Here is a 12297-nt window from a genome sequence, read left to right on the forward strand (position 1 = left end):
AAATTTTAAGTTGATAAATTTCACAAATGTCAAAATACCTAGAAAAGTATCAATCTTTATTGAAGATATGCCTCTAGAGAAACTTTTTTCCTGCAAATTTCTCATAGTTTCATTATTTGGTGAAATTTTGTAATTTTTTTCTAGAGAGAATAGATAATTCCCTCTTTTAGCATGGTTGATCGAAAATTGATTTTTTAAAATAGTTTAGAAATGTTTCTTTCAGTTTCACCATTTGTTATTGGTAGTTTCACCACTAAATTATTGGTAAAACTTTTAGGATTATTACATTTTGGAGAAACTCTTACACATTTCTTTCATATATGATAGGAGCTGTATAAGATTTCAGGACATTTTGGCCGGGCACAGTGGCTCACACCTGTAATCCCAGAACTTTGGGAGGCCGAGGCAGGTGGATCTCCTGAGATTAGGAGTTCGAGACGAACCCAGGAGGCAGAGGTTGCAGTGAGCCGAGATCACGCCATTGCACTCCAGCCTGGGCGACAGAGTGAGACTCTGTCTCAAAAAAAAAGATTTCAGGACATTTTAAGTTGTGTGTGTGTTGATGTGTAGGCATGTATACATACACTTAACAACTGAATCTTAAATGTTCTTTGAATTGATGAATGAGTTTGTTAATCATTTTGCCATCAGTTTTATGTTGGTCCCTGCATATTTGTGTTAATATGGTGGATAGTAAGAGTATTACTGGAAGCCATTCCTACTGATACTGTTGGAAGAATTTAACTAGACACAGAAGTGACTGCAAATTATACAAATATTCCCCCACTGAATCATAATTAAATGTTACTCCTACACAATGTACCCTTAGGTGGGGATTCCCATAGACATTCCCATTGTTACTCAGCTGAAGGGAAAATGTGGTAGAAGTCCTAGTGGAGCGAGACAGTGATCTCCACAGATTATAGTGTAAATTACCTACTTTTTCAAATTAAAAAAAAAAAAAATCACATGATCATGTGACTCTATTACCAGGGTCTTTCCCAGGGCCTTGGAAGGGGCCTATGCAAACAAGAAACCCTTGACGCATGAGCTTTATTAGCTCCATGGTAGATCTACAAGTGAAGGTTCACTCAACTTAATCTAGGCCTACTTCCCCGAACATGGTGGCCAGCTAGGCTTCCTTCACTCGTCATTAAATGTTGAGAAATGACTGGCATTTCAATCCAACTCAGTTTCCCAATATTTCCTCAACTTAAAAGCCTTGCCAGTTTGGGGTTCCATTCCTGCATATCCCCACCTTCATACAGCAGACAGAAAAAAGAGCCAAGCTTTGAGGAATGTTTCCTAAGAGGAAAGTAGGTTTTGGTCCGGGCTTTCCATCTGCAGTAGAGAGGGCTTCCCTCAGTCGTGTAGGGCCCTTGTCTACGTAAATAATTAGAATCACTCCAAGTCAGTATGTCAGCACCATTCTGGTAGCCCACTTTCTTGCAGTCCCACAAAAGAAATACTGTGCTGGCCAGAAGCAGTAGTCAGCTTGTCTGGCTGTCCTTCCTGGAACAAGGGCCTGGCCTTGAGGTTTTAAGACAGCCTGATCCAGACATGAGTTCTAGTGCTCCTTGGAGCATCTGATGGGTCGCATGGGTGGGCTAGAAAGTTGGAGCAAACCATGAAGGGGAGAAACCAAGCCTGGGACTGAGGCCCGTGCAGGTCCGGGTCTAGGTCCAGGCCTGGGGTACTCTACCTGAATGACACCATCCAGTCCTGGGTATTGGAAGGGGACTTAGGACATTCTGAGGAAGGTACTTGAAAGCACAGGGCACCTGAGGTGTCTGTGCCCATATCTAAGGGCAATACTAGCAATGAGACTTTTTTCTTTGTTTTTTTTTTTTTTTTTCTTTTGTTGTTGTAGTAATGACTGTGAAGTATTTAAAGATAGAAACTGCTAGAAAAGCTGAACTTACCCTGGAATTGTTCACTGTCATTTTAATTGGCTCTATTTAAATAATTTTCCTGAAGAGTATGATGATTGAACTTTAGTAAGTGTATTTTGTCTCCAGGGATTTTGATTCCTGGCCACCCACCCCTCTGTACTCCCAACCTCATCCCCCTGGTGTGGGACCTTCTCTCCAGTCTCTATATGAACTCCCATTCTCACCTCCTCATTCTAGTGTTCCTGTATGGCCATCTCTGGATGTTATTTGTGAAAGATTTGAGAGATTGAAAACAAACTTCCATGTCTATTTCTCTGTCTTTGTTTGGGAAGCAGGGAGGATGTTGGTGAATTGAAGCCAACAGCAAATGAGTGTGCTCACAACTTTCTTTTGCTAGTTTCCCCTCTTGCTAGTTTCCCTCTCTTGCTAGTTTCCCCTCTCTTGTTAGTTTCCCCCTCTTGCTTGTTTCCCCTTCTCTTGCTACTTTCCCCTCCCTTGCTAGTTTTTCCCCTCTCTTGCTAGTTTCCCCCTCTCTTGCTAGTTTACCTTCTCTTGCTAGTTTTTCCCCTCCTTTGTTAGTTTCCCCCTCTCTTGCTAGTTTACCTATTCTTGCTAGTTTTTCCCCTCCCTTGCTAGTTTCCCCCTCTCTTGCTACTTTACCCTGTCTTGCTAGTTTCGCCCTCTGGTTAGTTTCCCTCTCTTGCTAGTTTCGCCCTCTGGTTAGTTTCCCTCTCTTGCTAGTTTCCCCCTCTGGTTAGTTTCCCTCTCTTGCTAGTTTCCCCCTCTCTGGTTAGTTTCCCTCTCTTGCCAGTTTCCCCCTCTCTTGCTAGTTTCCCCCTCTTGTTAGTTTCCTCCTCTTGCTAGTTTCTCCCTCTGGTTAGTTTCCTTCTCTTGCTAGTTTCCCCCTCTCTTGTTAGTTTCCCCTCTCTTGGTAGTTTCCCCCTCTGGTTAGTTTCCTCCTCTTGCTAGTTTCCCCCTCTTTTGCTAGTTTCCCTCTCTTGCTAGTTTCACCTCTTCTGCTTGTACTCTGCTTCTCATTGTCTCTGGCTGCTCTCACCTAGGGTATAGCATTTGGCCTTGCATATGATGGTGGCAGAGCATGTGTACAAAGAATGCTTGAAGGAACTTAGTTTGGAGAATAAAAGATTTAAGGAAGACATGTGAGCTTCAAATATCTGAAGCTTCATCATGTGGAAGAGAAGAAGCCTTATTCTTTGTGACCCCAAGCAGTTAAATTGGGTCACTGAGTAGAGGTTAGAGAAAGATTCAATTCCAGGGGAAAGGAAAACTGTTATGGTTGTCAGAAATGGAATGTGCTATGTCGTGGTGATTGCTTGGCAAATATTTTAGGGACCCAATTCCGACATTGGTTGGATTTTGAATTCATTCTTTTGTGACAAGTTGAAATGAAGTATGAGGAAATCTGTGTAACAGCCCAAGGTTAGATAACATCCTCACAGAGCAAGAACATCCCTTTTCTTTGATTTTACCTTCTCCTAGGTTCAAGTGGACCCCACTTCTGGGAACTGTAATCTGAGTCTTTCACGCTTGCATATGGCATTTCTTCTACCCTTGTATGTTTTGTTCCTGTAGCTCTGCTGCCATTCCCTGGCTGGGACCCCCTTTTATCTGCCAACTTGGTTAACCCTCTCTCATATGTCTCTCGAAGTCACGGCCTAACCAGGCATGCCTATCTAACCATCACCTTACCTAGGCTCAGCTTGTCTGTATGTGGCTTAAGCCAGGAGTTAGTATGGGGACTAAGTTGTCATTAAACCCTTTCCAGTACCTGTGATTCTGTGAATCTATGGCTCTTGCTTTATTTGGTTTGGCCATGATTGGACAGTGGGTCCCACTGGAAGATGGCTCCTGGAATAATCTCCCCCATCATGCCCCCCTCTGACTTTTCTCTTTCATTCTCTAATTCCCTCACTAACAGAGAAAGAATATATTTTAATGAGGCCTTCTGAAATAATTTCTGGTTTTCTTTTTCTGGTTTTTTTGTTTTGTTTTTTTCTTTTGAGACAGAGTCTCGCTCTGTCACCTGGGGGCATGATCTCTACTCACTGCAACCTCCACCTCCCAGGTTCAAGCGATTCTCCTGCCTCAGCTTCCCAAGTAGCTGGGATTACAGGCTCCTGCCATCATGCCCAGCTAATTTTTGTATTTTTAGTAGAGACGGGTTTCACCATGTTGGCCAGGCTGGTCTCAAACTCCTGACCTCAAATGATCTGCCTACCAGGGCCTCCCAACGTACTGGAATTACAGGTGTGGGCCACCATGCCCAGCCCTTGTTTTCATTACTAGAAACGAATTAAGTTTTATGGTTTTGCATATTGTAAAAATATTTTACTCTATGGAATCTTCCCTTTTGGTGTGTTTTAGAAACAGAACTATAGAGGAAAGAAAAATATGATGGGACAATCAAGTTTATTCATTCTTCCTCAGATGATCTGGACTTAGTCTTACCTGCCTAGCGAAAGTTGGGCTGTGTTCCCAACAGTGGGAGTGAAAAAGTAGCAATACCGTATACCCACAGCTGAATTGATTTCAGCCCCCACCCTGAGGTCTCACAGGAGCAGACTGGACTCATCAGCGCCTGTCAGTCATGGCCTATGCTCATTGCTAAGCCTTTTGTCTTACTGGACCAAGATTCTTAACCTTTGTCACATCACTGATTTGGAGAACCTGCTGGATCACTTGGCAGAAGTGACACCAGCTCTGGAGTACCTCAGTCTGCTGGGCAACGTGGCCTGTCCCAACGAGCTGGTCAGCTTGGAAAAGGATGAGGAAGACTACAAGAGATACAGGTGAGTGTCCAGGGGTTGGACCATGGTGGGAAAAGGGAAAAAGAGAAACTTTAGGGGATGATATTATACTCTGGGGTGCATAGTAGATGTTTGGTACATATCAGTGGGTTTCCCATGACAATGTTAAACTTTTACCTTTTGGTAACCTATAGCCATTGTCTCTCTTGGTTGAGGTCACAAAAGCTAAGAAAGATGAAAAGTTATTGCCTTTTCTACTTTTTTTGTGAAGTGCCAGATATTAAGTATTTTAGGTTTTCCAAGTTACATGGACTTGTCACAACTACTCAGCCCTGCTTTCATAATGCAGAAGTAGTCATACATAATTTGTGAACAAATGGGCATGGCTTTGTTCCAGTAAAGCTTTATTTACAAAACAGATGGCAGGCCAGATTTCACCCATGGGCTGTAACTTGCTGACCCCTGCTCTGTGTTGTAAGATCTTTCTGTGGTCTGTCTCAGAGTCATCTTGAAGAGAGAGATGACTTCCCACCAAAATTTAGGGAGCTCATAGACAATCTCAAGAGGAAGTCCCACAGGCCCATACCTCTCCACCATAGAGCTATGCCGTGGCGCCCACCAGCCATGCGCTTTGATGGGCTCCAAGTAGAAATGCTTTTCGTTCTTCTCTCTACTTCTCAACCATGTGCTTTAAAAGCCCTGATCCAAAGTCATTTAGAGAGTCTTTTTGGTCTTACCCATTTTACCAAAGTCACCTAATTTTCCTTCTTCATTTAAAATTGTCTGTGTTCTCATTGTTGATTGTTGTTTTGTAAATGCTTTAATGACCTTTTCATGGACCTCTCTCTCCATTATGACATAAGCTCTCATTAAACACCCCACCTGAATCACTCTTAAAAATAACTTAATAAATTTTGTATATGTATATATGCATATATACATATATGTCTGTGTCTATATGTATATGTATGTGTACACACACATTCATGCACTTGTTCATTTATTCATTCATTCATGGGGCCAAGAAGCTATGTGTGAAGCCAACCATGTAGGCAAGTTTTTGTAATTTTTTTCTAGAATGAGAGAGGTAGGGAGGGATTGGTCTCAAGTACAGGGCTTATGAGGTTGCAAAAGGAAAAGAAGAGCTAAGAAAAATTTTTTTCTATTCTTTTTTTGGTGTATCATCAGCTCTCAAATAATTACTATTTGTTTTTTCTATTGTAACTGGTCGCATTAGCAAAAGTACTAAGACCAAGGTATGTGGGGTCAGATCAGAAGATCTGATGTGGAGTCCGGCTTTCCCAGTGGGGCTTTTAAAATAGGAGGACAGTCTATATCAGTATTCCATAATCAAGGATCTACCTCTGAGTCATCCAAGGTATTCTGATGCAGTTGGTGGCAATTACAACACAACAGTCCATAGGTGTTTCTGATGTCCAGTTGGCTTTAGAATTCGGAGACACTCAGCTCCCAACAAGTTCAATTTCTTCCTTTACTGTCTCACACCATTTTATAGATCCTATCTTGTGTATTTTTTCTCACTTCTTCATGTATTTCCACATCTAGAGAATGGCTTCCAGTGGGTAGGAGCTGAGTTGTCTTGACTCTTGAAGCCTCATCAATGCCTAAAGTAGTGCTGGATATGAAAAAAGGGCTTGGCACCTTTTTTTTTCTGGAGGTGGCTTGAAACCACCTTTCCTTCTCAGGAACTAGGAACTTATAGGGAGATGCAGGGATCTTTGGCCATCTCAGATGCCCACTGCCCATTTGGAATCAGATCCATTTGGATGTCAACAAATGCAGCTAATAAGCAAAGGACTATGATTCAGACTCAATCCAAGTGCTGGTTGTGGGTCATGAATCTTTAGGGAGGGCTGGATTCTACAAGTGTGGTCTATCTCATGGGCTAGCCTGGGCACCCTCCAAGCCCATCCTCCCCACTCCAGTTCTGTTCCCTTGGAAGGAGTTGAGGGGTGGGGCTAGGGAGGTGGTTTGTGAGTACACATATGACAAAGTTGCCATGAGAGGCTAGATTCTAGAGGTCATACAAAACCAAAATCATAACTAGTCAAAATTAACTTAGAAAATTTACATCATCCACAATGATGGCAAGATGCTTGCACTCTGAGAGAATCAGGGACTAGGAACAGCACAAGGAACAGTAAATATGTTCCCATGTAGTTACACATTCACTGCACAGCAACTGGTTGAAGAGTGGAATGGTAGGCTGATTCTCTAGCACATTTAAATTTTTTATTCATTTAATCTCTTTATTTTTTACTGTTGGTTTGATGAGTGCTCACACTTGTATATGGAAAAGATAGATATGTGCTTGATATAGTTCCATTCTATGGTCTGTAAGCAGATCCGCTTTGTCCTTCCTCGAGTTTGTGCTCCATTTGCCACTGAGAAATTTTAGGGTTTTGCAATATGACTTTTGATTCTGGAGTTCCTGTGGCATTTGTGTTTATACAAAACAATGCAGCTGCCTTTTTTTTCTTTTGGTAAAACATTTTCCTGGCCCTTCATCCACAAAACACGAGGTTTGCCTTCCTTCTAGCTGTTTCCCAGAGCCTAATAGTAGAGCCTCTATGTAAATTTATGTGACGTTTTCACTAGAAAATTGCTTAAAAATGAATGCTATTTCTAGAGTTTACTGTTTTTCACTTTAAGTACATTTTCTGACAATATGTCTTCTATTAATCATTTAAGCAATACTAGGAGCCTTAAAGGAGTGTATTCAGAAGCAAGAACCCATGGTTCATTTAGTGCTGTCTGAAAAAAATTCTTATTGATTGGCATCCTCTGTGGTTATGTGATGTAATATTTATAATATGTCACCCAGGCATACATCAAAACAAGTGTGTCTGTTGTTTCATTTCCATGGGAGATGTTGATTTCAAAGAGGTCAGCCCAGTTTTTAGGTCACATTGTGGCCAACCACTGGACCAGAAATGGGAAGTGACTCGATTTATGTAGTTATTGGAAATGGCATCACAGAGCTTGAGTTTCTGTGGAGTCTTTCCTCCCCTCCTCCCAAATTCACCCTTTTCACTTCCTCACTTACCCCCTGTGCACCCAGTTGGATTTTCTTGGCACACATCCCCACCATAAAACAGGCTCATTAAATTTATATGTGAGCATGAACATACAACCAAGTTGTTGAGTAGCACCCTGGCCCCACTGGGGCAGGAGCAGAACTGTGCCTGGGGTTTCTCTTTGCCATTCATCATAGTTCATGGCTGAGAAATGTCCATGGCCCTGTTATTATAGGAGCTTAAACCTGTCTGTGATTTTCAGTGTGTACACACCATGCTGCTATTTTGGGATGAATGTGGAATGGAGGTGAATGTGATAATCAGCAGCCTCCAGGATTTGGGCAGGAAGAGAACAGCAGTGCAAGACTTGGCCGGAGAGACCACCATGCTACTGAGAAACCACTTTAGTGCCCCTTGTGGATTTCAACGCTAGCCAAAATAACAAATCAATATGGGAAAGTTGGGTGCCCAGAATGGTCTATTTCTTGTCTTCCCTTGCCATTGCTTTTTTTGTTTTTGCTACAGAAAGAACAATGGACTTGAAGGTTAACAGTAGACAAGTCTGGACTTCACCTTTCAAATAAGGGAGTTGGTCTCATGGTCTTTTAGCTCTTCCTCTGTCACTGAACCCTCTGTCGTTCATCCCCTCCTGCCACTCCAGTCTCTGGTTGGCCTTGCTTTACTCCCTCCTCCCTGTAGGGCCTTCTGTATTCCTTACAACTTTCAATTATTTAAAACGTGACACCCTTTCTTTGTTCCCCTGCATGGAGCAGCCCTGGGGCCTGCCCAGTGTCTGCAGCACTCAGCCAAAGGGAAGGAGGGAGGGACCCTCCGCCGTCTGGTCGCTCTGGGCTGCCACCATTTCCCAGACGAATAGGAGCTGTAAAACTTGTGGCTTACATAACCCAGTGAGCATTCTCCAGCTAATCTACAATCTGGGCTTTGAAGATCACAAGAAAGCAAAGGTCACGACCCAGAGATCAAAGTGACAGAAGCCCACAGAGTAATTGCCGGTTACTCTCTGTAGAGGGCCTTGGTCTGTCCTGTGGGTGTATTGTTTGCACAGAGACTTCAAACATGCTGCCGGTGAACTGTGAGGAAAATCAGCTGGCCTCTGCCAGTTGTCAGGCATTCATGAATGCTGTAGGTGAGCTCACCTCGGCTCATTAGAGTGAGATTGTTGTCATCTCTCTGAGCATCTGCAGTTATTCCACTCACACTGTTTGTTCATTACTCTGTGGTCTTTATTGACTTTCTCACAGTCGTCATTTACTTGGAGGTGTTGGGGGTGGTTATATAAGGAAATTGGAATAACAAGAAAGGACGACATGGACATTTTTATTGTAAGTCAACTTTGAGCCACGTAGAGTTCAAGCAAGGTAACATTTGAAAGAGGCTTAGACATCATTTGGCCCATCCCCTTCACAGCATAGATAGAAAAACTGAGGCTCAGAAAGGCAGCAGAGACTGAACCAAGATCACAGGGCAAGATACACTCAAGAGTCTGGCCTCTTTCACTATGCTATTAGTCCCCAAGCTTTTTGTTACAAAAACTTGCCCTCCTTTTATTTTTCTCCCCAACACTTTAAAAACTTTGATCTCTCAAATAGGCTGCACTGAAGCCATTGCTAAGTTTATTATTATTATGAAACATATACGTTCAGCAGTTGATCACGGCTTCTGTTCAGCATGAGGTAACCAGTGCTATTAAATGGAGTTAATGTAATCTAGTCAACAGTGAGGAAGCATGATGTTTTGTTGACGGACTCATCTATCCCATCAAGCTTTGTGAAAGATTGAGAATGGCTCACAGATCACCCACTGCTGCCTTCAGGGGTCTCAGGTAGCGCATCAGTAGCTTGTACCATGTCTCACTGCCTCCAAAGAATAGAAGCAAGAAGGCAGCAAGAAATAATGCAAAGAAGCATAGACTGCCGTAAACGGAAGAAAATTTTAAAAACGAAACAAAACTCTAATGACCCCATGCCCAGTTCCCTCAAGAATTGGAAACTTGGTACTTCTTGAATAGAGTGTCAGAGAAAAAAACATGTCAGCCAACCCCATTCGCAGACCGTGGAGGCCCATCTGAGCTTTTCTGTGGTTGTAAGGTGTTCCTGGGGAGCAGCCATTGCCCTGGGGGGAGCAGCCATTGCCCTGGGGATAACAGTTACAGGCAGGGGGAAAGAACATCCTCCTCTCTCTCTCAGGTCTGGATGAAAAATGCCTGAGTGTTGGGACTAGAGCAGAGAAAATTGATTTTGGAAAGAAAGAAAAAAAAGGTATTTCTCCTGTTCCTTTTCTCCTCCTAGCGGTTTTAGCTCTCTCCTTAGAGGAGTCCTTTAAGCAAATGGAACATTCTATGTGAGAAGAAAGAGGACCTGAAAAGCTCAATGTGCTGGTCTCTCAGATTTAGGAAATCTGTTTCCAGACAGAGACAAATGGGTCTTTAAGCACCTTCCCAGGATCCCTGCTCTCCTCTTGATAACCCCACCTTCTGTATCTCAGCCAAGAGCACCTCTGACTCTCACCCCCACCCCTCACCACCCCCAGCCTTGGGGGCTTTCCCCTAGCCACCTTGAGAAGGTCAGGAAAATTGGAGTTGCCCTCTGGAGCTAGGGACGTGAGACTTAGAACTTAGACCGATCTCTTTTCATTAAGCAGTGCCCTGGCTTAACAAGCAGTTTTATAAATCTGAAGCTGTCTCCGGGTGTCGCAGGATTTATAGACGGGGGTTTCTGCCATAAAGTGGTTTATGATGGCTGCCTTCTGTGTTATTAGTAGCTGTCTCTTCCTTCAACCATTGCTGTTTGATAATAGCCTTAAAACACCCAGAATTACTTACCTGCAAACCCTATTCCCGATAGCCCCTGTTGACAGTCTGAATAAGTTTAGTGCCCTTTTGTTGTACTTTACCTTCAAAACAAACTGATTGAACCATCAATAGCTCGTGGAAGCTGACAGAGGGATGTCATCTGGACTAGCCCTTGTGATTGCAGGTTATCTGGGGGAGTTAACCTTCCCGCATTGTTAACTGAAATGTTTTATGTACTATGCAACTTTAGGATACGGCTGTGATAACCCCAGTAACTAAGTAATACATCACAGTAAAGAGATTTTGGTGCAACAAATAACCCAGGATTAAATTTACAAGGGTTGAATTGATATTGTAAAAGCCTTCATTCTGTGGCTTTGGGAATCCTCTCTTGTATTTTTATGGCAAACTTGTATTACACTCAGGATTGAAGCTGTGCCTTTTGACACCCTGACATGACCTAGAACAAAGGGAAATAGATCTCCCAGGACCATGAAAGGACAGGCAAGCAGGAAGCCCACTGACTTATCACTTGGCAATAATGTTTGGAGCGAGTTCCAAGCCACCAAGGGGCAAGAAGATCTGGCAGACATGGCCACTGGCTGGGTTCTGTGCACTGCAGGCATTGGGGCAGGGCAGCCCTTAGCAGAACTGGAAGGAGACCCTTTGCTGCCTCACCACCCTCCTAATTTCAAAGCTATTATTCCTCATGGTGTTATTTTCACGAGGACATTGGTTCTCAGCAGGACTAGCAGCATCAGCATCACCTGGGGACATATTAGAAATGTAAATTTCAGGCCCAGTTCCAGAAATACTGAATCAGAAACTCTGGGGATGGGGCCCTGCCATCTGTGTGTTGGGAAGTCTCCAGGAAATACTGATGCCCACTGAAGTTTGAGAACCACTGTGCAAGAATAGAAGCTCACTGAAAGAGCACAGATCTTCTGCATTGCTTTTATCTCCTCATGTTGGTACTTGACTCAGGTCCTGACACACAGTAGCTGTTCCATAATTATTGTTGAACGAGTGAATGTATGAGTAAGTAAATGAAAGAAGACATCTCTATGGAGGAACTTTGGACCCTGGGCTGAATCTCAGATGGAACTATTTGGGGCAAGTCCTCCTAGTGTCCCTCACACCTCTCCAAGCAGCAACCACTTGGAAACCCAGGCTGGCCCACGGGATGGGTGAAAATCATCCCTCATTTCAGGGGGTGACTGGCAGCCTGTGTCATGGGCTGTCTCTTCGATTGTATAAGAAGAGTGATCTGAAAACAGCAGCTCTTTGTCATCTAAAATTTTTAACTAGCTTAAAAGCCAGCACCTCTGTCTCTCTCTTTCTCCTTTGATTTCAGGGCTGTGATCCAAAGTGAGGCAAAATGACAATGTGCGGTCTGTTGTCATCATGGTTCCTGCCAGCCCCGTGAAGGCATCCTTCACTCCATCGTTAAACATTGGCTGATTTTCTAATACTGATGTTTTCTTCACCTGAATATTCATCTTTTCCCACCCTACACTTAGTGGGTGTCTTTACTCCCTGCACGTCACTCCTGACATATTGTTTCTGTCTGTACATGTCTTTATTTGAAAGAGTCTGTTGTCATAAAGACTTTTCTGCTACAAGCAGAAGACGGAAGTTTTCTCTGACATTGACTGAGGCCGGTGGGAGCTCTACTGGAGGATAGAAAAGATATTTGGTGGTGGTTCATGCCTGTAATTCCAGCAGATGGATCACTTGAGGTCAGGAGTTTGAGTCCAGCCTGGCCAACATGGTGAAACGCTGTCTCT

The 12297-nt window shown here is 43.3% G+C and overlaps 1 protein-coding gene across 3 annotated transcripts in view, besides 1 other annotated feature; it reads left to right on the forward strand.

The window, feature by feature from the left end:
* LRMDA (leucine rich melanocyte differentiation associated) overlaps positions 1–12297 on the forward strand; it is a 1128545-nt gene that overhangs the window by 610978 nt on the left and 505270 nt on the right. For all 3 annotated transcript variants that reach the window (NR_131178.2, NM_001305581.2, NM_032024.5), the window contains one exon: positions 4563–4702. Coding sequence is in view for 2 of the 3 variants with exons in the window: in NM_001305581.2 (NP_001292510.1) it covers positions 4563–4702 (140 nt within the window). In the remaining variant the exon portion in view is untranslated. The remainder of the gene's footprint in view (positions 1–4562; positions 4703–12297) is intronic.
* Positions 8407–8940: an enhancer, noted in NCBI's record as "NANOG hESC enhancer chr10:77810766-77811299 (GRCh37/hg19 assembly coordinates)". NCBI's record gives its function as "activates a minimal SCP1, AML or CMV promoter by ChIP-STARR-seq in naive H9 embryonic stem cells {active_cell/tissue: H9 hESC(naive)}" and the evidence as "EXISTENCE:reporter gene assay evidence [ECO:0000049][PMID:30033119]".

Source organism: Homo sapiens, chromosome 10 (genome assembly GCF_000001405.40).
Source record: "Homo sapiens chromosome 10, GRCh38.p14 Primary Assembly".
Classification (NCBI taxonomy): Eukaryota; Metazoa; Chordata; class Mammalia; order Primates; family Hominidae; genus Homo; species Homo sapiens.